Source organism: Homo sapiens, chromosome 20, assembly GCF_000001405.40.
Source record: "Homo sapiens chromosome 20, GRCh38.p14 Primary Assembly".
NCBI classification, from domain to species: domain Eukaryota; kingdom Metazoa; phylum Chordata; class Mammalia; order Primates; family Hominidae; genus Homo; species Homo sapiens.
The window spans coordinates 19,835,116-19,862,988 of NC_000020.11; the positions used below are offsets into that span (position 1 = coordinate 19,835,116).

The 27,873-nt window shown below is 41.4% G+C and overlaps 1 protein-coding gene across 11 annotated transcripts in view, besides 1 other annotated feature; it reads left to right on the forward strand.

The window, feature by feature from the left end:
- The window catches only part of RIN2 (Ras and Rab interactor 2), a 244,858-nt gene that overhangs the window by 77,517 nt on the left and 139,468 nt on the right, over window positions 1-27,873 (forward strand). The window lies entirely within an intron of this gene.
- Window positions 3,264-3,765: an enhancer, noted in NCBI's record as "H3K4me1 hESC enhancer chr20:19819023-19819524 (GRCh37/hg19 assembly coordinates)". NCBI's record gives its function as "activates a minimal SCP1, AML or CMV promoter by ChIP-STARR-seq in naive H9 embryonic stem cells {active_cell/tissue: H9 hESC(naive)}" and the evidence as "EXISTENCE:reporter gene assay evidence [ECO:0000049][PMID:30033119]".

Here is a 27,873-nt window from a genome sequence, read left to right on the forward strand (position 1 = left end):
GAGGAAGGAAGAAAGGAAGGAAGGGAGGGAGGAAGGAAGGAAGGAATGAAGGGAAGAAGGAAGGGAGGGATTTCCTAGACTAACTCCCACATTGCATCTATCATTTTCTTCATGTCTGCACTAGTAATTGTGTAAATTATAGCACATTGTTTTGTTTATATACATATACATATGTGGGTGTGTGGTGGTGGTGAATGTGTGTATCTATAGGTATGTGTGTGGAATGTATATAAATCTTCTTTATTGTTTGAAGTGCTCATGTGTAAATGTTTTTGCCTTCAACTTCATTAAAATTTTTTGAGGGCAGAATATTTTAAAGTCTTCAATAACAATCATTATATTACTTTAAACGAGATCAGATAAAAAAGGACATAAATAAAGTCTACTGAGTTATAAAAGGAGTAAACCGAATTTCACATCATTTACATGAGGCAATTAAAAGATCAGCATTTAAAAAGCTATACTCTAAGGTAAATAAATCAGTACCTGAAGGCAAATGGTAAGGAAATATTTAGTTAACAGAAAGAAGTCAGTTTATCTCAAAAGCCGTCTTCCCTGAAATTCGGGCCTGCATTGCTTTGCTTAAGTAACAGCAAATATGAATGGGAAGTTGAGTGGATGCTCAGAATTATTTAAATTTTTTCAAGCTTTTTTCAAGCACTCCGTTTAGTGAACCAGGCTGAGTAGGAAAATCTCTCCTCTCCATGAACTTGTTTAATTGCAGAAAAGCTACAGAAGGAAAGGTTCCTGGCCAGAAGGAGAGAGTGCATCTTGCTCCTCTAAGGATGACAGTCGATGAGGGAATCCAGGGTCCTTGCCTGTCACACATTCCTCTGAGCTCTGGGCACTGTGCTAGGACCGGGACTGGCTGCCTTTGTTCCTTTGGGGCATGGCCAGGCCATCTGGTATTCCGGGCTACCAGATAAGTCGCCCTGTTCTGCATCCCAGAGGGAGAGTTGAGCTCTGCACCAAGCACTTAGGGACAGAGCAGTGGTCTGAGCTCAGCCACTTTTGTTCCCACGACTGGTATCATCTGGTGACATCAGATGCTGCACAATCCATGTCGACTGCAGACCACTAGGCAAAATGGGTTACAGAATTAATGCACTGAGTGCTCCAGCGATTATAACACTGAACATAAGAGATCCCCATTTCTTCCAGGTAAATTCTTGTTTCAATTAACTAAAATTTGAGTGAATTCATAAGTGACTAGTTCCTCATGACGCCATCGCACCAAAACTAAATTAAAGGATTAATCCTCAATTTCCACATTAGTAACTTAAATATTAGAGCATGAAAAGATTTGTAATTCTCATTACAGATCACTGGCTCCTTCTTCAGAAAAATTGGACTAATTAGATCTAACTTAATTCCTCACAGTTATGTCCCTACTTTAATTGGAATTACATTAAATATTGATAGTAAATTAAAGAATATTTTCATGGATAGAATTTCTAATCTACCAATTAGGAGACCATGAGCTCTCTCTCTCTCTCTCTCCATTTATCTAAATCTTTCTTCATTTCTCCTATTAGGGTTATATAATTTTGAACGGCTCTTATGTTTATTGAATTATGTAATTCTCATCTATTTAATTTTTGTAGCTGTTATGATAGAGGAAGATAATGAGTTTCTGTTCCATTACTAACATTAAATAATGCTGTTGATTTTTACGTTTATAGGTAACATCCTATAATCTTGCTGAACTTAACTATTTTCTTAAATAAATTTTTGTTGATTTTTGCCAAATTCAAGGTATATAATCACATTATTATAAAAAGCAACAAAAATGCATCAGAGTCTTAGTGACAAGTATTAATTTTAGAGGAATGGGAAGATATTGAAAGAGCCTCATCCTGGCCACTGCGCCATTGTATTAACTACCATTTATTGTATATCATGTGCAGACACCTCCCCTAAAGCTTTATCTATATAATTTCCATACAACACTGCTGTAAGATGGGTACTGTAATGATCCCCATTTTGCAGATATGTGTGGAAACTAAGCCTCAGAGAGATTAAGTAACACTGAACATCACACACCGCCCCCCCCAACACACACACACACACACACACACACACACACACACACACACAGAGTGAATTACACAGCTTGGGTTTTAACCCAGCTCAGTGTGAGCCCAGAATCTGTTCATGTAATAGCAGCAAAAAGGAAATAATATACTTGAGAATTAACTCAATACACATGAACTATTCAAAGAAAATTAAAATACCTCCAGGGAAAATAAAGGCTCTGAGAAATCCACAGGGAAGCATTATCTCTTTCTTAATCTTCACTAATTTCACAAATGAGAAATAGTCTCTTGTTGTCAGTTTAATTTGCGTTTTTGTTACTAGGAAGTTTCAACATTTTCAAATTAATCACATGTCTTTTCTATCCTGTGTTTTTTCTATTCAAAATTTCTAATTTCACCATTGGGATACTAGAGTTTTTATTGCTGTATTTAAATTCATTATAAGTTAAGTATATTATCTTTTATAAATTCTTAGCAAATGATAAGCCAAGCTTTTGCTTTGCTTTTTAATTGTTTATTATATATGCTGATATACAGATAACTATTTTTAATATAATTAAATTTGTCAACCTTTTTCTCCTTGATTCTTTCTTTTTTCTCTTTCTTTTTTCTTTCCTTTCTTCCTTTCCCTCTCTTTTTCTTTCTCCATCCTTCTTTCCTTTCTTTCTTCCCCTCCCCTGTCTCCTTTCCTTTCCTTTCTTGTGGGAGTGAATGTTGAGAATTATCTTCTCAATCCAGAGATAAGACAGACATACGCCTATATTTTCATCTGGTTTCACTATTTATTGACTTAACTATAATATATCTGAAACATATTTTGAGTGGAGGGGACAAGAAAAAGAAAGTAATTTATTCAGCTGGCTAAAACAGTCACTTCACAAAAATCAGAGGGTTTTTTAATTAAAAAATTATCCTCAGATTTTAGTTAAAAAACAAAAACATATCTTCTCTCATTGGAAGGCTATTTCCATCTTCTTTTAACATGAAGTAACTTTTGCTAGTTACATTCTGACTTCTTTTTAAACAGATTCTGCAATAAGTAAGTCTAAGATCAGTCATACTACATTGCATAGGATATTGTGAACTAAGCTTGCATTTGTTTTGTGTCTTGAGGAAGAGAGATATGGCCTGGTTAATTAATTAATTTACCCAATCAAGTTTAAGAGTGATGTTAATTTTAATAAGACTGTTACTTTTTGTACTTTCTAAAAATTAAAGTATGATCTACGTACTATAAGGTTCATACATATTCAAGGTTCATCCATGTTGTAACCCATATCAGTAATTCAGTCCTTTTTATAACTACATATATATTTCATTGTATGGACATACCCTATTCTGTTTGTCCATTCATTAATTTATAGACATTTGGATTGGGTCCACTTTTTGGCTATTATGAATAATGCTGTGTGACCCTGGGAGGATCGTGTGTGGCTGTAGCCACTCCCTTTATCACTGGGATTCATGCTGGGGGCTGGAGCTGGCTGCTTCCAGTCAGGTCTCTTTCCCGCATGGCTACAGGAAATCATACTCCCAACTGTGGTGAAATCTAAACCAATGGCCTGGATGAGTCTTTTGCAGACAGGTTTGGCACTGTTTGGATAGCTTGGCAAGTCTCTGCACACCTGCACTCCGGCGTCTATTTCTCTAGTGTGGGAAGTAACTCTGGGTGCAGGGCTGGTGCTGAGGGTACCACCGCCTCCCCACACACTGGGGTCCCCGAGACTTCACCCGAGCCTCCTCTCCAGCCCCCAAACCTCCACCCAGTGGCCTGACAACACCAGCTTGTCAGCCTGGATGGCCCGGGAGGCCTCTAGGATCATTTTAAATCCATCCATGAGTGGACCAACCTGATGATTGGGAACAGGATTCCAGCAGGACTGTTGGGTGAGATTGTTTCTGCAGTGGGAGGAGCACAAATCAGAGTCTGCGCAGCCCCAGTGCTCAGCGCCTCATGGATGTTCCCTGGCATCTGTTACGATCCCCCTGTCAGCTTTAACCTTTGCCTGACAACCATGTGGTTTCTAAGGGAGGAACAAAACCGGTGAGAAAAGCTACTGTGCACAAAGTCCCTTTTGTTGGTACGCAATTGCATAAATACTTGAGAAGGAAAATGAATAAAGGCCAGGATGGGACCTCCCTCCTCATGGCAGTGAGAATAACTTGCCCTTGGGCATGCCCTGGAACCTGCCTACAGCTTTCATGGGCTAGATCCGCCGTATCATACCAGCCACAGTGTGGCGACTGAGCAGGACCTGCTGCCCACATTTTGCAGATGAAGACATGGAAACTCGATGAGGTTCCATAACCCAGCCAAAGTCACAAAACCACCTAAGTGATGGAGTTCACCATGTCTCTGGGTCCCTGGCTTAATGCTTTTCTCTACCAGGGGCTATTTACCCACTCAGAGTCTGTTCTGTCTTAAGAGAATTGCTTGGCTAGAGAAGATCCTTTCCTTCCTTCTCTCTACCACCTCCCCCTGGAGGATCTAGTTCCACCCTTACCTCTGGTTTCTCTCCTGGGCCTTTCTTCTTGCACCTTTGCAACCCTGTACCCCTTCCCTCTCCACTTTTCTTTGTGCAATATGGCTAGCAAGGTCCTCCCCTTTCCCACTCACCCTCTGAATGAATCCTATCTAAAACACTTGGCTTCAAATCCAATGGGACATTTGAAATGTACAGTACTGACATGTTTAAAGTGAGAGTAAGCAGTATCTTTAAATCAAAAGTGCTTCTGTAAATGCAAAATTGAAACCCGCCTTTCCTGCAGCAGTAAAGCCTTAGAACTGCAAAGAATTTGAAAGAGTAGCTATTTATAAAAAATATGTTAATACATGTATTTGAGGACAATTGCCTAAAATTAATATACCAAATGATAACAGTGGTTACTTCGAGGTGGCAAGATTATCAATGTTTTTGATATTCTTCTTCCAGCTTTATTGTATTCCCTACAATGAGTAGTTATTATTTCTATAATCAAGGAAAAAGCTGAACACTTTTAGTTTTAGCCAACTCCAACCTCAAATTTCACAAACAGAGAAACAGAAACTTGGAGAGAACATTCCTGGTCACACAAAGGTTTGCCAGTGGAAGTGGGTGAGTCTGGGTCTCAGGGTTTCCTTCCCCACTCCTTTTCCCTGGTGCCACACCTTGGTAAGACAGTGGCCACGCTCAGCACTGCATACTTGGGCAGCAGTTTGCGGTTGGTTGGTTGTCTATCCTTACAAGGTGCCTGATTTTCACCAGCGTGACCGTGAGCAGGCAACTTGGGGAAACACAAGTTAAAAGAAAGAGTTGTTCTTATGTTCTTTTTTAAAGCGCAAACACACATTGTCATTTCCTTTCCATAGAGAGCCCTTCCCCACAGTTTATAGGAATGCCTTATCATTGTTGACATAGCCTGTTCATGGGCTTCTGTCAAGGGTAAGTCCCCATGCCCCTTAGCCAACCAGAAACCACTTCTGTTAATTGAGGAATTGTCTTTACATGCCCTTACGTTCAGTCACGCCTTGAAGTGCTGGGAGAACATCTTCATCCAGGATGGGCAGTGAGAGACAAAGCCTTGAATCCACACAGTTCCATTTCCTGGGGACCCGTAGAGCATTTTTCATGCATGTTCCACAAGCTCCTTTCATGGGCACCTCATTATGCTCAGAGTTATCCAGAGCAATTGATGAACAAATGTCTTTTCTTTCTAGGAACTCACAGATTTCAAATCTTGAAAACTGGTTAAGAGAGTTTGTTGTTGAGAGATGAGACATAACCCACATGTAAGAACGTTTCCATCATCTCCAGTGTGGACTTTTGTCTCACTTTTCTCTTTTTTCTTCGGCCTCTCTTATTCTCCAAAAGTTATCTGTTCTTTAGGGAACATTTGATCCTATGGGTCATTTTCAATCCCTCGTTAACTACCCGGCAAGGACTTTATTTTCTTTTAGAGATAGGGTCTCACTATGTTGCCAAGAGTGAGAGTGAGAGTGGCTATTCACAGATGTGAACATAGCACATTGCAGCCTCAAACTCTTGGCCTCAAGTGTTCCTTCCACCCCAGCCTCCCAAGGACAGTAAAATCCTTTTGAAAAAATCCTTAGCCGAGTGAGGTGGCTACAGGCGTGAGCCACCACACTCGGTGAAGGGTTTTTTCAAAAGGACTTTACTGTGATTTTTTTGGCAGTGCTGGCTTGAACATGAATTGGCTTTTGTTCTTTCAGTTCTATTGAAGTGAATTAAATCTATAACCTCACCTGGAGTTGGGAGTAACAAACGCAGCCCCATAGATTTTGCCAGCTTATGGAATTAAAAAGGCCACCATTGAAATGACGATCTGAACCATAAAGGCAGAGTCTCCTCTTTCCCTGCTATAAAGTGTTCATGTTTATTTGGGGGATGATCCAGGCATCCACACTGTAAAGGGGCTTATCATGTGACAAAAGTGACCTTTTCAAACACTGAAACCTGTGAGAGCATCCCACAGCTGAAAATCAGGGAAGGGAACTGGGACCAATGAGAAAAAGCATTTAAGGATGCACAGGGCTAGGCTGGCTTGCAGGCAGAACTGCCCTTGTACCTACTCTGTGCAGGTCCTGCTGGGGAGCTTTGTCAATATGAAGGCTAAGTCACATGAGGAAGCTGCAGAAGAAAAGTTTGAAGCTAACAAAGTTAGTTCATGAGATTTAAGAAAAGAGGCCATCTGCAGGTGCCAGTGGAGAATCTGCAGCAAGCTGTCCAGAAGATCTAGCCAAGATAATTGATAATTGCAACTCACTACACTAAACAACAGATTTTCATTGTAGATGAAACAGCCTTTTGTTGGAAGAAGATGTCATCTACAGCTCTTATAGCTAGAGAGAAGTCAATGCTTGGCTTCAAAACATCAAAGAACAGGCTGACTCTTGTTAGGGGCTAATGCAGTTGGCAACCTTAAGTTGAAGCCAATATTCATTTATCATTCCCCAAATCCTAGAGCCCTTCATAATTAGGCTAAATCTACTCTGCCTGTGCTCTACAATTGGAACTGTAAAGCCTGTATGACAGCACATCTGCTTTTTTGTTTCTTTGTTTTTTTTGTTTGTTTGTTTGTTTGTTTGTTTGAGACAGAGTCTTGTTCTGTTGCCCAGGCTGGAGTGTAGTGGTGCGATCTTGGCTCACTGCAACCTCTGCCTCCTGAGTTAAAGCAATTCTCCTGCCTCAGCACCCCCTAGTAGCTGGGATTACAGGCACTCACCACCATCCCTGGCTTTTTTTTTTTTTTTTTTTTTTTTTTGTATTTTTAGTAGAGATGGGGTTTCGCCATGTTGGCCAGGCTGGTCTCGAACTCTGGACCTCAGGTGATCCACCTGCCTCGGCCTCCCAAAGTGCTGGGATTACAGGCGTAAGCCACTGCACCCAGCCACACATCTGTTTACAGGATGGTTTACTGAATATTTTAATCCCACTGTTGAGACCTACTGCTTAGAAAAAAATACATTTCTTTAAAAATATTACTGTTTATTGACAATGCATCTGGCCACCCAAGAGTTCTAACTGAGATGTAAGAAGAGATTCGTGTTGTTTTCAGGCCTGCTAACACAGCATCCATTCTGCAGCCCATGGATCAAGAAGTAATTTCAACTTTCAAGTCTTATTATTTAAGAACTACATTTTGTAAGGCTATAGCTGCCATAGGTAGTGATTCCTCTGATGGATCTGAGCAAAATACATTGAAAAATCTTCTGAAAAGAATTCAGCATTCTAGATGTCACAAAGAACATTCATGATTCACAGGAGGAGGTCAAAATATCAGTATAAATTGGAGTTTGGAAGAAGTTGATGCCAACTCTCATGAATGATTTTGAGGGACTCAAGACTTCTGTGGAGGAATCTGCTGCAGATGTGGTAGAAGCAGCAAGAGAATAGAATTAGAAATGGAACCTGAAGATGTCGTTGAATTACTGCAATCCCATGATAAAATTCAAATGAATGAGGAGTTGCTTCGTGCAAATGAGCAAAGAAAATCGTTTATTGAGATGGAATTGCTCCTGGTGAAGATACTGTGAACAGTGTTAAAATGACAACTAAAGATTTAGAATATTTTATAAACTTAGTTGATAAAGTAGTGGCAGGATTTGAGAAGATTACTCCAATTTTGAAACAAGTTCTACTGTGGGTAAAATGCTATCAAACAACATCACATGCTACAGAGAAATCTTTGATGAAAAAAAGTCAATCAATGTGACAAACATCATTGTTGTCTTATTTCAATAAATTGCCACAGCAACACCAACTTTCAGCAACCACCACTCTGATCAGCCAGCAGCCATCAACATCAAGGCAAAACTCTCCACCAGCAAAAAATGACAACTTGCTGAAGGCCCAGATGATCGTTAGTATTTTTCGGAGATAAAGTATTTTTACATACACAAATTGTTATTAGGTACTTAATAGACTATAGTAGAGTCTAAACATAACTTCTACATGCACTGGAAAACCAAAAACTTTGCATGACTCCCTTTATTGCAATATTCACTTTATTGTGATATCTGCTTTATTGTGGTGGTCTGGAACCAAACCAACAGTAACTCCAAGAGGTGCCTGGACTACCACAATCCACCAGCATGCGCGAATATCAACTGACAAGCAATATTGAAAAATATAGTCACTTTTCTTTAATTTCTTTTGAAAAGAACTAATCATATTAGAAGTAAAAAGTTATTCTGAAAAAAAATAACCTTTAGTCCTCAAAATGATTTCAAATAGAAACTACTGACTTTATAAAGAATACATTTTATCCTTCTATAAAACATGCAATTCTTTGACTCATTAACTATTCATAACTTTTAAAAACAACATGATTTGGGCAAATTAACAATCTTTAGAGTACAAATACCTTCAGTGGGGAAGAATAAATCTTTAATTTCAATATGATGGTAAATCATATTGAAATCCTCCAGTATGTCAAATTCCAATGCCAAAATAAGGGAGAGTAGCTCTAGAAATGATGTTGGTGGAGTGTTTTTCCAGTTTGGCTGGCAAGATTGGAAACAGTTTGTAATTTCAAGCCTGTGCTGTTGGGAGTTCCCTCATTAAACACTTCATTACCTCAGATATGTGAGGGATAAAAAAACATCACTTGCCTTTGAATCTGGGACCAACTATTCTACTAAGATATAAGCTAAAGGCTCAAAGCCCCTTAAGGTTAAACTGAAACCACTCGAATATAAACATGATAAATAATGGTGTTTAATTTTGCTACAATTTTTCCTATTGCCAATAGCATGCAACCATATTGCTTTCAACATTAGCCTATTGTAACTCAGAAAAGTCTTATTGTCCCAAAGGAATGACTACTGCAGGGGACACAAGCTCAAAAACTAGGTAGTCAAGCAAATGGGTGCATGGCTGGTGTGTGACAGGTGGGAATGGTGGAGAACATGGCCAACTAGAGAGCTGCTGCTGCTGCTGCTGCTTCTTCCTCTTCTTCTTCTTCTTCTTCTTCTTCTTCTTCTTCTTCTTCTTCTTCTTCTTCTTCTTCTTCTTCTTCCTTCTTCTTCTTCTTCCTCTTCCTCTTCCTCTTCTTCTTCTTCTTCTTCTTCTTCTTCTTCTTCTTCTTCTTCTTTTAATTATACTTTAAGTTCTGGGATACATGTACAGGACATGCAGGTTTGTTACATAGGTATACACGTGCCATGATGGTTTGCTGCACCAATCAACCTGTCATCTACATTAGGTATTTCTGCTAATGCTATTCCTCCACAGTCCCCCACCCCCCAACAGGCCCCAGTGTGTGATGTTCCCCTCCCTGTGTCCATGTGTTCTTGTTGTTCAACTCCCACTTATGAGTGAGAACATCTGGTGCTTGGTTTTCTGTTCCTGTGTTAGTTTGCTGAGAATGATGGTTTCCAGCTTCATCCATGTCCCTGCAAAGGACATGACCTCATCCTTTTTTATGGCTGCATAGTATTCCATGGCATATATGTGCCACATTTTCTTTATCCAGTCTATCATTGATGGGCATTTGGGCTGGTTCCAAGTCTTTGCTATTGTGAATAGTGCTGCAATAAACATACATGTGCATGTGTCTTTATAGTAGAATGAGTTATAATCCTTTGGGTATATACCCAGTAATGGGATTGCTGGGTCAAATAGTATTTCTAGTTCTAGATCCTTGAGGAATTGCCACATTGTCTTCCACGATGGTTGAACTAATTTACACTCCCACCAACAGTGTAAAAGCTTTCCTATTTCTCCACATCCTCTCCAGCATCTGTTGTTTCCTGACTTTTTAATGATCACCATTCTAACTGGTGTGAGATGGTATCTCATTGTGGTTTTGATTTGCATCTCTCTTATGACCAGTGATGATGAGCTTTTTTTTCATATGTTTGTTGGCCACATAAATGTCTTCTTTTGAGAAGTGTCTGTTCATACCCTTCACCTACTTTTTGATTTTTTTTTTTTTTGTAAATTTGTTTAAGTTCCTTGTAGATTCTGGATATTAGCCCTTTGTCAGATGGATAGATTGCAAAAATTTTCTCCCATTCTATAGGTTGCCTGTTCACTCTGATGATAGTTTCTTTTGCTGTGCAGAAGCTCTTTAGTTTAATTAGATCCCATTTGTCTATTTTGGCTTTTGTTGCCATTGCTTTTGGTGTTTTAGTCATGAAGTCTTTGCCCATGCCTATGTCCTGAATTGTATTGCCTAGGTTTTATTCTAATGTTTTCATGGTTTTAGGTCTTATGTTTAAGTCTTTAATTCATCTTGAGTTAATTTCTGTATAAGGTTTATGAAAGGGGTCCAGTTTCAGTTTTCTGCATATGGCTAGCCAGTTTTCCCAACATCATTTATTAAATAGGGAATCCTTTCCCCATTGCTTGTTTTTGTCAGGTTTGTCAAAGATCAGATGGTTGTAGATGTGTGGCGTTACTTCTGAGGGCTCTGTTCTGTTCCATTGGTCTATCTACCTGTTTTGGTACCATTACTGTGCTGTTTTGGTTACTGTAGCCTTGTAGTATAGTTTGAAGTCAGGTAGTGTGATGCCTCCAGCTTTGTTCTTTTTGCTTAGGATTGTCTTGGCTATACGGGCTCTTTTTTGGTTCCATATGAAATTTAAAGTAGTTCTTTCTAATTGTGTGAAGAAAGTCAATGGTAGCTTGATGGGGATAACATTAAATCTATAAATTACTTTGGGTAGTATGGCCATTTTCACGATATTGATTCTTCCTATCCATGAGCATGGAATGTTTTTCCATTTGTTTGTGTCCCCCTCTTATTTCCTTGAGTAGTGGTTTGTAGTTCTTGAAGAAGTCCTTCACATCCCTTGTAAGTTGGATTCCTAGGTATTTTATTCTCTTTATAGCAATTGTGAATGGGAGTTCACTCATGATTTGGCTCTCTATTATTGGTGTATAGGAATGTGTGTGATTTTTGCACATTGGTTTTGTATCTTGAGACTTTGCTGAAGTTGCTGATCAGCTTAAGGAGATTTTGGGCTGAGACGGTGGGGTTTTCTAAATATACAATCATGTCATCTGCAAACACAGACTATTTGATTTCCTCTCTTCCTATTTGAATATGCTTTATTTCTTTCTCTTGCCTGATTGGCCCAGCCAGAACTTCCAATACTATGTTGAACAGGAGTGGTGAGAGAGGACATCCTTGTCTTGTGCCGGTTTTCAAAGGGAATGCTTCCAGTTTTTGCCCATTCAGTATGATATTGGCTGTGGGTTTGTCATGAATAGAGATAGCACCTTCTTCTATGGGCAGGGGCACCAGTTACTCCATCCAGCCTACCATAATTACCTGAGAATACAGGACCTGTGCTCACAGACCTTTTGATTTTTCAAAAGACAACAGAAATCCAGATTTGTAAGTAGTATCTCTTAATTTTTGAACATTAGCAACTATTCCATTTTTCTTTTGTTTATCTCTTTTTGTAATATTGGGCAGACCAAAATTAAATTACTGTTTTGCCCTGCAGTCAACATTGTTTTGTCACTGAATAGGATAATGGCACAGCTGAGTTGCTGAAGATCCTCTTGAGGGATGCTCATTGATTCCTTTTTTGCTTTTTATCCTTCATCTGAAGCATTTAGCATTTGTTTGCAGTTTTCATGTAATTTTTCCCTTAGTGAAAGTCCAAAGGGTTTTGATGCTCATCAGCTCACTCTACCCTTGCTCATAAAACTGTCAGTTTAGGCCACAGTTCCTTACTCTTCATCCCTGAGATATGTTACTACTAAGTGTTGTAGGATTTCTCAGGGTGGTTTTGAAAATTCACATTTTAAAGAATCAGGAAAGCTTATGCATAAACGTGCATGCAGTTAAAAGGGAGGTGCCTAGACTGGCAGTGGGCTCAACAAGAGGGTAGAGGTGCTGCCACTTCAGCTTCCGGAGACCCAGAGGGGGTTCTAGAAGTGTGGCACCCAGCACAGTAGTCCCAGAATACATGGCACTGTCCAGCACTTGACGTGTGGCTTGTGTGAACTGAGATGTGCAATCAGTGTAAAATACATACCAGATTTAGAAACATAATGAAAAAGAGATAAAATATCTCATTTTTGAAATTGGTTACATATTTAAGTGGCATTTTAGATATATTGGGAAATTAAATAGTATTAAAATTAATTTTACCTGTCTAATCTTACTTTTTAATCTGGTTACTAGAAAATTTAACATTATGACTGTGAGTCGCATTATATTCTACTGATCAGTTCTGCTCTAGAACAGGGAGGGGCCCATAAACTTTTTTCTGTAGAGATCCACAGAGTAACTTTTTTAAGCTCCACAGGCCATATGGTCCTTGTTGCAAACATTCACTCCACCATTCCAGTACAAAAGCAACCATGGATGAGATGTAAATGAATGAGCAGGGCTGTGTTCCAATAAAACTTTATTTGCTAAAATAGGCAGGGGCCAGATTTGCTGACTCCTGCTTGATGAGAAAATAAAAGCAAGGGGGAGGGAGGGGACATTGAGGTGTTGGTGGCATTCTGTTTCTTGATCTTAATGCTAGTTAAGTGGTGTACTTTTTGAAAATCCATCGAGCTACAGTTATATGATATGTGTACTTTTCATGTACACATTATACTTCAATAAAAAGTTGACTTAAAAAGAGCAGGGTCTCGGCCAGACAAGGTGGCTCATGCCTGTAATCCCAGCACTTTGGGAGGCTGAGGTGGGTGGATCATGAGGTCAGGAGATCGAGACCATCCTGGCCAACATGGTGAAACCCCGTCTTTACTAAAAACACACAAAAAATTAGCTGGGCGTGGTGGTGTGTGCCTGTAATCCCAGCTACTTGGGAGGCTGAGGCAGGAGAATCACTTGAACCAGGGAGTCGGAGGTTGCAGTGAGCTGAGATCACACCACAGCACTTCAGCCTGGTGACAGAGCAAGACTCCATCTCAAAAAAAAAAAAAAAAAAAAAAGAGTGGGGTCTCTTCTGGAAGATCTGACTAAAAGAAAAAAAGCCGGAGATGTACATCTGCTCTTATTAATCAGTAACAATCCTCTTCCCGGTTTAAGAATGAAACAGTTTTTTTTTCACAGTACATAGCAGTTATTTATTTAAATACTTGAAAAGGTTGATGATGGAAAAAATAGGTTTATCGTGAGTTTATATCCATTCGATTTATTTTATCATTTAAAAAACTACTGCCTCTAGGTTATTCTAGCCTGACATAGAACACTTTTGACACCTGCAGTTACTGTAATATACTATAATAGACACAGCCATTATAGAATGATTTCCACTTGGGAGGAAATTCAACAGTAGTAAGGATGACTCTTTATTTAAACTAAAATCATTTTTCTAATTCTCTACCATCAGTCGGCCATTTAGTTGTCCAAACTCATCTGGCTTTCCTCAGGTCTCTGTACATCCATTCCGTACAATGGTCACTACCTTTGTGAGAATTGCACTGGGACAAAATTCAAGCTATTGGCCATTTGGGGAGTAGTAAGGGGATAGAATTCACTGGATATCAAAAGCCTAAACTGTATTAAAGTTGTGTAGACTTAAACCACCAGATTTTGCAAATTAAAAAAAAAAAATTCTGGTTCCCTGTGAGCTCATCCTGTGCAGAATGAATATGCAGGTTTTACTATTTTGCCATCTGAATATAGACAGACAGAAAAGTATGACTTTTCCTTCTAGACCTCGATACTGACCAACTATCAAGACACTTGCTCAGGCCTGCTCAGACAGAAATGAGAAAGCGTGGAAACCGGGGCCGAGGTTAGAGAACAGGACAGCCATGGACACAGGCTCCCAAGGTCAGGGCATGGAAGTGCCAGACCCAGCAGGGTCCTGGTAGCTGCGAGAGCATCGTTCTACCCCGACTCTGCTCCTGCTCAGCAGCAAAGTTGCAGAGAGAGAGAGCTTCCAGAAGTGGAAAGATTTTTAAATAAGTCTTTTAACTTTTTGCCTGTGGATACAGCTGCGTTGACACAAAGCCACATTTGAGGCATGATGTCTCGGAAGCCTGGCACCACGGACTGTTTTTCTACTGGGACCCATAATTGCTGCCTTTTAAGAGGTGTCCTGTGTTCAGTTTTATCAATGTGGTGCTTGAACCGGACTTTCAGCTGACTCCCAAAAGGAAATAGTTTTAAAAGGAAGAATTTTAAGTCTGCCAAGAGCCAGATAATGGCATAGCACAGAGAAAAGCCAGGGTTTTGTGGTTTGTATATTAAAATACAAGTCTCTTAATGCCTCAAAACAGCAGCCTCCAGAAAATGGGAAGTTTAATAGATGAGGCTAGAGAAAGCAGTTTTAAAGATCGAAATTTTCCCTCTTTGTTCCTTGTGATTTACCCGAAAGGAACAAGTTCCTTTCTCCTGAACCTCCTCCTATGTCTATTTTTGGTTTTATACAAGTGACTGTTCTCATTAAAGTAAATCTCAAAGTGCTCTGAAAATGTCCATGCTGGGCTGCCGGCCTCACGCCTGAGGAGCTTTTGGCCTGGACACTCTGCAAAAATGTGTCCTGAGGACAAAGGCCATTAACATTTGGTTAATCTAACATCATAAATTACTTTTCCCATAAATTACTATTAACAGACCTCCCTCCATACTTTTTCTGAGTGCTGTCTTGCCGTTTTTAACCTCCCTTACATTTCCACCCTTTTGCCCAACACAGAATCACATGAGAGCCCCTGGAGGACACGGGGGAGGGGTGGGTTCAGCTGTTGTCCTAGCACAGTCTGCAGCTCCTCCGTGCAGGCTGTTGTTTTCCCTGACAGTAATCATCTGTCAGGAGAAATGTTACGTATCCCATCATCAGTGTGGACTCTGGCTGGACTCTAGACAATGCACAGAACCATCAGCCATGGTCCTCACAAACCACTTGGCCACTATTGTCTTCTTACCTTCTGTTTGTAGCAGTCACTGCAATAGGTTGGGCCAGGGGACAGCAGAGGAGGTTTGGGGATGCCTGAATTCAACTGGAATGCCACCTACACTTGTATTATCCAACACATGCCCCTGGTGCAGTGTATTTGGTTTTAAAACCAGTTTTAAACGGATGCACATTGTGGTTAGAAATGGCAGACCAGGCTGGGTGCAGTGGCTCATGCCTGTAATCCCAGCACTTTGGAAGGCCGAGGCTGGTGGATCATTTGGGGTCAGGAGTTCAAGACCAGCCTGACCAACATGGTGAAAACCTGTCTCCTAAAAATACAAACAAAAACCAAAAATTAGCCTGGCATGTTGGCACATGCCTGTAATCTCAGCTACTCAGGAGGCTGAGGCAGGAGAATTGCTTGAACCTGGGATGCAGAAATTGCAGTAAGCCAAGATCGTGCCACTGCACTCCAGCCTGGGCAACAAAAGCAAGACTCTGTCAAAAAAAGAAAGGGAGAAAAGGAAGGAAGGAAGGAAGGAAGGAAGGAAGGAAGGAAGGAAGGAAGGAAGGAAGGAAGGAGAAAGAAAGGAAGGAAGGAAGGAAGGAAGGAAGGTAGGAAGGAAGGAAAGAGAAGAGAAGAGAAAGAAAAAGGGCGAATTTGCCTAACCTGCAGTCTGACACTGATCTCTAGGCATGCTGGGTGCTGGGAACTGGGGTGATGGAGGGGGTCAGTGGCAAAGAGAAAACCTTGGGGCAGGTGAGATGATGCTGGGGAAGGGACCCCAGTGGTGTGGATGTGACACTAGGCCATAGAGGACTCAATCAATAAGAAAGGAAGGATTTGCAGTGTCAGGGGTTCCAGACACAGGTGAATCTTGAAGCCAGGTACAGATGAAGGAGATTGGGAAAAGTTTCCAGCCACTGGGTAGGCCAACCCAGGTGCCAGGGACAAAGAACCTTGGTCTTGGGGCTGGGCATGATGGCTCAAGCCTGTAATCCCAGCACTTAAGGAGGCTGAGGCAGGAAGATTGCTTGAGGCCAGAAGTTCTTGAGATCAGCCTGTGCAACATAACGAGACTTCATCTCTACAAAAACAAAAAATCAGCTGGGCTTGGTGGTGTGTGCCGGTGGTCCCAGCTACTCAGAGGCTAAGGTGGGAAGATCGCTTAAGCCTAGGAGGTCGAGAATGCAGTGAGTTATGATTGTGCTACTACACTCCAACCTGGGCAATAGAATAGAACTCTCTTCTCTTGGGCTCCCAAGAGCTCTAGCGGGGAGTGACCACACATGGTTGCTGAGCACTGTGACAGCTGCCATGAGACCGGCTGAAAAGAGGTATTAGTTAGCTATAGTCCCAGTAGAACTACCTAACAAGGCACCCCCAAACTCAGAGGTATACAACAACAAGCACTTCTTTCTCACACTTACGTATGCAGGCTGGCTGAAGTCCAGCTGATCTAGGCTGGGCAGGCTGGGCTCATCTGGGCTCAACTAGGCTTGGCTGCAAGTCGTGGATTGGTTCAGGGCTACTCCATATGTCTTTCGTCTTCCCTGGCATCTCTGACACATGTTCTCAGGGCCGTGGCAGAAGCACCAGAGCACAAGCCCGACCACAGAAACACTTTTTAGAGCCAGTGCTCATGGCATTTATTCTATTGGGCAATGCAGGTCATGCCGTGAAACCCCACATCAAAGGGCAGGGAAATATGCTCTGCCTCTACGTGGGGAACTGCAAAGCCACATGGCAAAGGGTGTGGATAAATAGAAGGGTAAAGAATTGAAGGTGGGTAACATGACCAAGGTGATTCTACCAGCATCTCCAGGTGGTGATGAAGGCTCCAGATGGACTCCCACTAATTAAGCTCATGCAACTGATACTTAAACCAGAAAGTCACCTTATTGATCTGCAGCTAGAAATCTTAGTATATTGCAGACTAGAAAGCTCCTGTCATCCGCTCAGTGTATTCTTTTCAGTAGGAAATTAATGTAGAACATCAAGTCATAATTCCAGCTTTGCTTATGAACATGGAGAGCAAGCAAGAAGCATTGGTTGGGCGATCCTAAAGGCTTGAATTATCCAGGTCTCGTTGCCTGAGGCCTCCCTTTCCACTACAGGAAAACACCTGCCAAAGGGATAGTGGGCAGGCTGCTCCCTTGTTTAGGTAGAGACCTTGCCAAATTACTCTTTGTATGCTCTTTTCTAGCCTCCTCTCTGATCATTCTTAATCTACATTAGTCCTTTACATACAAGGTAATAATGAAATTATTATTCTGTGACTACAAGCCATATTGGGAATTAAGGTCTCTAAGATGCCACAGTCACCTAGTCACTTAAGACTGTCGCTTAGGATAAGGTGCTTTACATATTCATCAATATCTCTTAAATAGCAATGGATATCATTTGCCATCCTTTTTTTTTTAATTATTATACTTTAAGTTCTAGGGTACATGTGCACAACGTGCAGGTTTGTTACATATGTATACATGTGCCATGTTGGTGTGCTGCACCCATTAACTCGTCATTTACATTAGGTATATCTCCTAATGCTATGCCTCCCCCTCCCCCCACCCCATGACAGGCCCCAGTGTGTGATGTTCCCCTTCCTGTGTCCATGTGTTCTCATTGTTCAATTCCCACCTATGAGTGAGAATATGCGGTGTTTGGTTTTTTGTCCTTGCGATAGTTTGCTGAGAATGACGGTTTCCAGCTTCATCCATGTCCCTACAAAGGACATGAACTCATCCTTTTTTATGGCTGCATAGTATTCCATGGTGTGTATGTGTCACATTTTCTTAATCCAGTCTATCATTGATGGACATTTGGGTTGGTTCCAAGTCTTTGCTATTGTGAATAATGCTGCAATAAACATACGTGTGCATGTGTCTTTATAGCAGCATGATTTATACTCCTTTGGGTATATACCCAGTAATGGGATGGCTGGGTCAAATGGTATTTCTAGTTCTAGATCCTTGAGGAATCACCACACTGTCTTCCACAATGGTTGAACTAGTTTACAGTCCCACCAACAGTGTAAAAGTGTTCCTGTTTCTCCACATCCTCTCCAGCACCTGTTGTCTCCTGACTTTTTAATGATCACCATTCTAACTGGCATGAGATGGTATCTCATTGTGGTTTTGATTTGCATTTCTCTGATGGCCAGTGACGATGAGCATTTTTTCATGTGTCTGTTGGCTGCATAAATGTCTTCTTTTGAGAAGTGTCTGTTCATATCCTTTGCCCACTTTGTGATGGGGTTGTTTTTTTCTTGTAAATTTCTTTGAGTTCTTCGTAGATTCTGGATATTAGCCCTTTGTCAGATGAGTAGATTGCAAAAATTTTCTCCCATTCTGTAGGTTGCCTGTTCACTCTGATGATAGTTTCTTTTGCTGTGCAGAAGCTCTTTAGTTTAATTAGATCCCATTTGTCAATTTTGGCTTTTGTTGCCATTGCTTTTGGTGTTTTAGTCATGAAGTCGTTGCCCATGCCTATGTCCTGAATGGTATTGCCTAGGTTTTCTTCTAGGGTTTTGATGGTTTTAGGTCTAACCTTTAAGTCTTTAATCCATCTTGAATTAATTTTTGTATAAGGTGTAAGGAAGGGATCCAGTTTCAGCTTTCTACATATGGCTAGCCAGTTTTCCCAGCACCATTTATTAAATAGGGAATCCTTTCCCCATTTCTTGTTTTTGTCAGGTTTGTCAAAGATCAGATGGTTGTAGATGTGTGGTATTACTTCTGAGGGCTCTGTTCTGTTCCATTGGTCTATATCTCTGTTTTGGTACCAGTACCATGCTGTTTTGGTTACTGTAGCCTTGTAGTATAGTTTGAAGTCAGGTAGTGTGATGCCTCCAGCTTTGTTCTTTTGGCTTAGGATTGCCTTGGCAATGCGGGCCCTTTTTTGGTTCCATATGAACTTTAAAGTAGTTTTTCCCAATTCTGTGAAGAAAGTCATTGGTAGCTTGATGGGGATGGCATTGAATCTATAAATTTCCTTGGGCAGTATGGCCATTTTCATGATATTGATTCTTCCTATCTATGAGCATGGAATGTTCTTCCATTTGTTTGTGTCCTCTTTTGTTTCGTTGAGCAGTGGTTTGTAGTTCTCCTTGAAGAGGTCCTTCACATCCCTTATAAATTGGATTCCTAGGTATTTTGTTCTCTTTGAAGCAATAGTGAATGGTAGTTCACTCATGATTTGGCTCTCTGTTTGTCTGTTATTGGTGTATAAGAATGCTTGTGATTTTTGCACATTGATTTTGTATCCTGAGACTTTGCTGAAGTTGCTGATCAGCTTAAGGAGATTTTGGGCTGAGACGATGGGGTTTTCTAAATATATAATCATGTCATCTGCAAACAGGGACAATTTGACTTCCTCTTTTCCTAATTGAATACCCTTTATTTCTTTCTCCTGCCTGATTGCCCTGGCCAGAACTTCCAAGGCTATGTTGAATAGGAGTGGTGAGAGAGGGCATCCCTGTCTTGTGCCAGTTTTCAAAGGGAATGCTTCCAGTTTTTGCCCATTCAGTATGATATTGGCTGTGGGTTTGTCATAAATAGCTCTTATTATTTTGAGATACGTCCCATCAATACCTAATTTATTGAGAGTTTTTGGCATGAAGGGCTGTTGAATTTCGTCAAAGGCCTTTTCTGCATCTATTGAGATAATCATGTGGTTTTTGTCTTTGGTTCTGTTTATATGCTGAATTACATTTATTGATTTGCGTATGTTGAACCAGCCTTGCATCCCAGGGATGAAGCCCACTTGATCTTGGTGGATAAGCTTTTTGATGTGCTGCTGGATTCGGTTTGCCAGTATGTTATTGAGGACTTTTGCATCAATGTTCATCAGGGATATTTGTCTAAAATTCACTTTTTTTGTTGTGTCTCTGTCAGGCTTTGGTATCAGGATGATGCTGGCCTCATAAAATGAATTAGGGAGGATTCCCTCTTTTTCTATTGATTGGAATAGTTTCAGAAGGAATGGTGCCAGCTCCTCCTCATACCTCTGGTAGAATTCAGTTGTGAATCCGTCTGGTCCTGGACTTTTTCTGGTTGGTACATTTGCCATCCTTTGATGGCAACTTACAACCCCTTCTGACCATGTAGTCATCAAGTGGTTGTCATTTCCTGAATGTGTACAAGTTTGCAACTGGACATCCTGAAGTTTCCATCAACCAACCATTTAAGGAGCATTTAAGGAAGGAATATGAGTCTTTCACTGACCTCTTCTGTAAAATCAAGAAAACACCAACAAGAGACTGGCAAAACTGACACCGGAGGCTTGGGGGAAAAAAATCCCAGAGACAAAAATGAAACATCTTGGCCAGGCATGGTGGCTCACGCTTGTAATCCTAGCACTTTGGGAGGCCAAGGCGGGTGGATCACAAGGTCAGGAGTTCGAGACCAGCCTGGCCAACATGGTGAAACCCTATCTCTACTAAAAATACAAAAATTAGCAGGGTATGGTGGCAGGCACCTGTGATCCCAGCTACTCGGGAGGCTGAGGCAGGAGAATTGCTTGAACCTGAGAGGCGGAGGTTGCAGTGAGCAGAGATCGCACCATTGCGCTCCAGCCTGCGTGACACAGCAAGACTCCTTCTAGAACAAAAAAAAAGAAGAAAAATCTTTTAAGAGACGCTACATCATGAATGTCCTTGAAAGATCATACCCTGTATATGAAAGAACTTTAGGGATATCTTAATTAATTAATTTTGCTTTTATTTTCCTTGTAATGCGCATGGGAAAAACTGTGCATGACGACATTCTGTGTCTAAATATGATTTTAGGGTTTTAAGAGTTATTTCAATAAGATTAAAGTAAATTCTAAGAGATAAGAAAATAAATTCAGCCTGGTCAACATAGTGACAACCCATCTCTACAAAATAAATTTAAAAAATAATTTTAATTAGCAGTAGTTGGGCATGGTGACATTTGCCTGTAGTCCCAGCTACTCCAGAGGCTGAGGTGGGAGGATCGCTTGAGCCCAGGAGTTCAAGACTACAATGAGTCACGATCATGTCACTGTACTCCAGGCTGGGAGAGAGAGTGAGACTTTGTCTCAGAAAAAAAAAAAAGAGAGAGGGAGAGAAAGGGAGGAAGGAAGGAAAGGAAGGGAGGGAGGGAGGATGGAAGAAAGGAAGGAAGGAAGGAAAGAAGGAAGGAAGGAAGGGAGGGAGGGAGAGAGATATTGCCATGGTTTAATTGGCAATGTCTGTTTCATTAGATGATACATAAAATAATGATGTCCTTTACTATTGATGGAGGCTCAAATGCTATTAAATTTTGTATTTCTCCACTGGAGCATTCCAGCGACTGGTCATCAGAAATGGAACTAGCACCATGAGCGAGGTAGCTTTGGCTGTGAACTGATTCCAAATCTTGCAACGTGGCCAGTAGTAAAGAAACAAGATGAGAGGCCACTTTTTATATGGCTTTTTAAAGCCTTTATATATACATACTGGAATATCTTAGCCAGTATCCCCCCTCATTTTTTAAAACCTTAATTTTATTGAGATATAATTTGTATACAGCAAAGTGCAAAGTCTTAAGTGTACAGCCCAGTGAACTTTAGGCAGAGACCCCGGTAGCCACCATCCAGATCAAGGTCTAGAACATTTTCATTATCCCGGATGGTTTCCTGTCCCTTTCCTAGTCAATGCCTCCCTAAACAAGAATACCCATTATTCTGTTTTCTATTAATAGCAATGTAGATTAGTTTTGCCTGTTATTGATCTCCATATATATGGAATCAAAATGTATACACCTTTGTGACTGGCCTCTTTTGCTCAACATAATGTTTTGAGCAAATGCATCCACGTTGCTTCATATATCAGTAATTTGTTCCTTTTTGTTCCTGGGTACTTATCCATTGTATGAATAATACAATGGATTCATTGTATTATTTTCATATTGATGGATATTTAAATTGTTTCTAGTCTGGACTATAATGAATAAAGCTGCAATGAACATTTCTGTACGTGTATCTTTTTGTAGACACATACATCCATTTATTTTGGATGTATAACTAAGAGTGGAATTACTGGATTATAGAGCAAGCATAGATATTAGTAGATTATTCCAGCTTTCTAAGGTAGTTGGACCAATTTTTATTCCCACCAACACCATATGAGAGTTCCAGTTGCTAACACTTGGTATGATCAGTCTTTTAAATTTTACTTATTCCAGAGGGTGCATGGGAGTGTCTCAATGTGGCTTTAATCTGGATTTTCCTCACTGGATATGGTGGTACACACCTGGAATCCCAGCTACTTGGGAGACTGAGGTGGGAAGATTGCTTGAGCCCAGGAATTTGAAGCCAGTCTGGGCAACAAAGTGAGACCCTGTCTCTAATAATAATAATAATAATAATTTGGATTTTCCTGATGAGTAATAATGTTGAACAGTCTTTTGAATGTTTTAGGTTTGAATATTCTCTGTAGTGAAGGCTCCATTTAAGCCTTTTGTTCTTTTGAAAATGTGTTTTGTCTTCCTTATATATTCTAGCCAGAAGTTATTTGTCTTACATGTGCATTTCAAATATCTTCTCCTGCTCTATGTCTTATTCATTCACTTTTTAATGATGTGTTTTGTTGAACAAAAGCATTTAACTTTAATGAGGTCCAACTCATCCCTTTTTATGGTCTGTCTTTTTTTAAAAAAAAATATTAAGATGGCTTGAGTTTTTTATGTCCTGTTTAAGACATTTTTGCCTACTCCTTGTTTTTCTGTCTTACAACCCCTGTTTCTTTTGCCAGTTTAATTGCCTGCCCTTTTCTTGAGTGGGGAGAATAGGAATCAGGTCAGGCTACATCTGAGTGAGGAAGGAAGGGTGACAGAGTTAAATTAGGAAAGCGAGGCCAACAAATTAGGGGAATAGATTGAAGCAGGAAGAGGCCCAACACTGTCTGATTTTTGGTCTAAGGGACCTGAAAGCCTTTGAGTCTGGGTAACCTGATAACTGACTTCAGTGCTGTCCAGCCCAAATATCTGCATTGCGTCTCTTAGAGTGTTTGGAGAAGCTTGTCAAATTTTATGAAATCAACCTCTTCCGTGCTCACAGCCCTGATCTATTGCCTAGAAACATGAAAAAGTTAATGAAGTTCGTGTTTTAAGGACATCGTGCTAATGTCTAGAGACCATCATTTTCCTTCTAAGTGCTCAAAAACCATCTTGATAATCCCTTCTTGACCATATCCAGGAAATGAAACCTCCATTTGGAATAATATTTACTTATTCCTAATCCTCTGACTCCTTCCCCATTCTCCATAAGTTTTCCTTACTTACTAAAGATGTCAATAATTCCATGATCTCATCTGTCTTCCTACAATCAAGGGTAAATGTTTGGGTCTGCTTTTCATAAAGAGACCCTGGCAGGGCCTGAACTGAGCTGACCATGTAGTGGAGACCAGAACAAAGCAGGAGTTGGCAGGGGGCTCGGGACATGCAGGGAGAAGGCGGGACTGCTGCAAACACGGTGGAGGACAGAATACATTTCTTAAAGTAGCTTCAGATTAGGTAGCAGCAACTGAGTTGAGATCCCTGGGCTCAGAAGATGGACTCTGGAGTCCATAGGGCTTTCTTGGGAAGATAAACAGCTCTACAGGGAGAAAATACTTCCATGCCAGGCCCTTCCAGGGGGTCATACTTAGAATGTTGGGACTACATTGATGAATCAGAGTCTCCTTAGAGGCACTAATTGGCAGGAACAAGATGGGGAGGAGCCATCCAACTTCCAGGGATGAGCTGGATGAGGGCAGGCAGGATGTGGCTGCAGAGACGCCCCTGGGCGTCCACCCTCAGGCACAGGGAAAGGGAGTATGGTGTAATAGAAAGAGAGGACTGCTGGGATTCACACATTCCTGGTTCTAATCCTGACTCTACCACTTATTAATTGTGTAACATTAGGCAAGAATAGTGCTTCCATCCGAAGATTGACTAGAGGGTCAAATAGGATACTGTGCATAAAATGCCAATTTCCCCATTTTCCTCCCATTTCTTTGGCTCTTCCTTCTGGTTGCTCTACCCAACAGACAGCTTTCAATTCTTATCTTTCTTGCCCACTTTGAAGCACTGGCACCATTAAATAGTCACAAGGTCTTGAAATATAACTTTCCCTTGACTTCCATGAAGATCCCATCTATTCCATGACAGTAGCTACCATGTGCATGCTGACAACTCCCACGTGACTATCTCCGCACATAACTCCTTCCTAAGAGCCAGATCCATTGATATACCTGCTTCCTGAACTTTCCACATGGATGTCCTACTGACAGCTCAAACTCAACAATTCCAAATTCAGCTCATTATCTTTTCCATAAATCTTTCCCTTCCTCACCTGCGTTCTCTATATGGAGAATCCAGTCATCAAGCCCAAAACTTGGGAGTCATGGATTCAAGTGCAAGTGGTTTATTTGGGAGATGATCCCCAGAAGCATCACTGGGGGATCTTGGAAGTGAAACAAGGAAGGGAAGGAAGCCAGTATAGAGTGTTTTATCAAGCCTGGCACCCCTGTGGACAACTGGAACTGAATCCCACTGAAAAACTTGGAGATGCTGTAGAGAGCACAAGCTTCAGAGTCACTCATCCCAAGGTGCAAAGGAGCTGGGTGTTTATTTGCCAACTCCTGCCAGGCATTGGCTTATCTCTGTCACTGGCTGCCCCTTGCACTTCTGGCCTTCCATAGGTGTGATAGCATTAGGTCCCACCACCAGAGAAAACCCTCAGATGAAGTGGCACAGATGCTGATGGTTGGAAGTCAGAAATGGAACTCCTGACTGGTGCCAAGAGACATCCTGTATCGGGTCTGCCCCTTTACATGGGTGATTCTTGTTTGTTTGTTTTTTTGTTTTGTTTTTTGTTTTTTTTCTGAGACGGAGTCTCACTCTGTTGCTCAGGCTGGAGTGCAGTGGCTCGATGATCTCGGCTCACTGCAACCTCCACCTCCTCAAGCAACTCCCCTGCTTCAGCCTCCCAAGTAGCTGGGATTACAGGCACACACCACCACACCCAGCTAATTTTTTTTGTATTTTTAGTAGAGACGGGGTTTCACCATGTTGGCCATACTCGTCTCGAACTCCTGACCTCAGGCAATCCACCCACCTTGGCCTCCCAAAGTACTGGGATTACAGGCATGAGCCACTGCACCTGGCCGGTTAATTCTAAGCTAATTTTCAGATTGCCTAGTTGTCTTCTCCTCTTGGGACCCTTGTGTTTCTCTCACACTCACTCCCCATGGAGTCTGGATGGTGTGCCCCTCTCTCTCTGTTTTAGCACTGATAAGCTTGTCTTTTAATGGTTTCTTATTTAATTATGTCCCTCACTGGACTATGAGCATATTCAGAACAGAAACCAAACTCTGATTCACCTTTACATCCCCATAGTTGAGTTAATGAATGACTAAGTGAACGAAGAAAAAAGCCATAAAAGAGGTGGCACAGCACATAACCAACTGCAAGTTTTTGCAGATAACCCAGGAAAGTAGCAAATTAAAGCCAGGGCAAAGAACACCCTTCTTTCACTATTACAAATCCTATGATAACATTCGGTCAGGTCTAAACCCACAGCCAGTCTTTCCTTGTTAAGTTTAGGGTTAACAGTTCCCCTTATGACTTTATGAGGTAGAAAATATTCAGCAGAGTCAATCAAGAATGTGTCAAATGTCCTGCTTTGATCAGTCTCCGGGCAGATGTCACACTATTCCTTCTACCCTTCTTGATCCTGTCCACCTCCTAAACTCCTATTCTTCCTTTAAAGCCTGTCTCAAAAGTCCCACCTCCTTATAGGTTTCCATGACCCTCCAACCTCTAGAGAAAATTGATTTCTGCCCAGCTGCACTCTACTGTCATTGTCAGCCTTTGCTATGATATGTTCCACCACAGCCCTTCCCCTTGACAAAGATTCTTGGCTTGACGAAACTTTAGTCAGGCTCCTGAACCTCCTCCTAGGTGCTTCTGAGCACTTCCTTATAAAATCTAGTTTTAACAAAGAACCCTGCTAAGTAGGTTGAGCAAGAACGCCCTGCCCTCGATATCTGATCACCCTCCATATCTGATCACCCTCCATATCTGATCACCCTCCTTATCTGATCACCCTCCATATCTGATGATCACCCTCCATATCTGGTGATCACCCTCCATATCTGATGATCACCCTCCATATCTAATGATCACCCTCCATATCTGATCACTCTCCATATCTGATGATGACCCTCCGTATCTGATCAACCTCCATATCTGATGATCATCCTCCATATCTGATGCTCACCCTCCATATCCGATGATCACCCTCCATATCTGATGATCACCCTCCATATCTGATGATCACCCTCCATATCTAATGATGACCATCCATATCTGATCATTCTCCATATTCAATGATCACCCTCCATATCTGATCAACCTCCATACCTGATGATCACCCTCCATATGTGATCACCCTCCATATCTGATGATCACCATCCATATCTGATCATCTTCCATATTTGATGCTCACCCTCCATATCTGATGATCACCCTCCATATCTGATGATCACCCTCCATATCTGATGATCACCCTCCATATCTGATCACCCTCCATACCTGATCAGATTTCTTCACTGCCACTATCCCCCAAGTGGAGTCCGGCCATCCTGGCCTGTCTTCAGCAACCTGCTAGGTTGGTTTAGCCAGAGTCTCCTGACCCTGATGTTTCCTCTTGGTAATATGCATATGATACATAAACAGTTATACAATAGATATCCATGGTATTAAAATTTAATGGAGGCCCCATCCACTGTCCCTCCACTCTTCTCCTTGGCTATAAATTCCCACTTGTCCATACTGCATTCAGAGTTGAACTTGGCCGGGCGTGTTGGCTCACACCAGTAATCCCACCACTTTGGGAGGCCGAGGCGGGTGGATTGCCTGAGCTCGAGAGTTCGAGACCAGCCTGGCCAACATGGTGAAACCCTATCTCTACTAAAAATACAAAAAATTAGTCGGGCGTGGTGGCAGGCACCTGTAGTCCCAGCTACTTGGGAGGCTGAGGCAGGAGAATCGCTTAAACTCGGGAGGCAGAGGTTGCGGTGAGCCAATATCGTGCCACTGCACTCCAGCCTGGGTGACAGAGTGAGACTCCGTCTCAAAACAAACAAACAAACAAACAAACAAACAAGCAAAAACAGAGTTGAACTCAATCTCTCTCCTCAACCACCCATTGCCACGGACTGAATAAAGTCTGTCTTACCAGGCATTAACAAGTATCATTGAATAATTTTTTCTTTAATGCTCTTTGTAGACTATGAGTTCTTCAAAGTTAGAACCAGGGCTGGTCTTAGTCATCTTGGTGTTCCCAGTGCTTGGGAGCACAGTCCCTAGAACTGAATCCTTGCCAAATGCACGTTTTCTGAGTTGAATCCCCTTTCACTGCAAGATCTTGTCTTTGGATTGGTTTGTAACATGACTTAATGTAGCAACATCTGCCCTCCAGCGTGGAGCCAGCAGACTTGTACCATGTTCCTCCCTCTTGGCATCATCTAC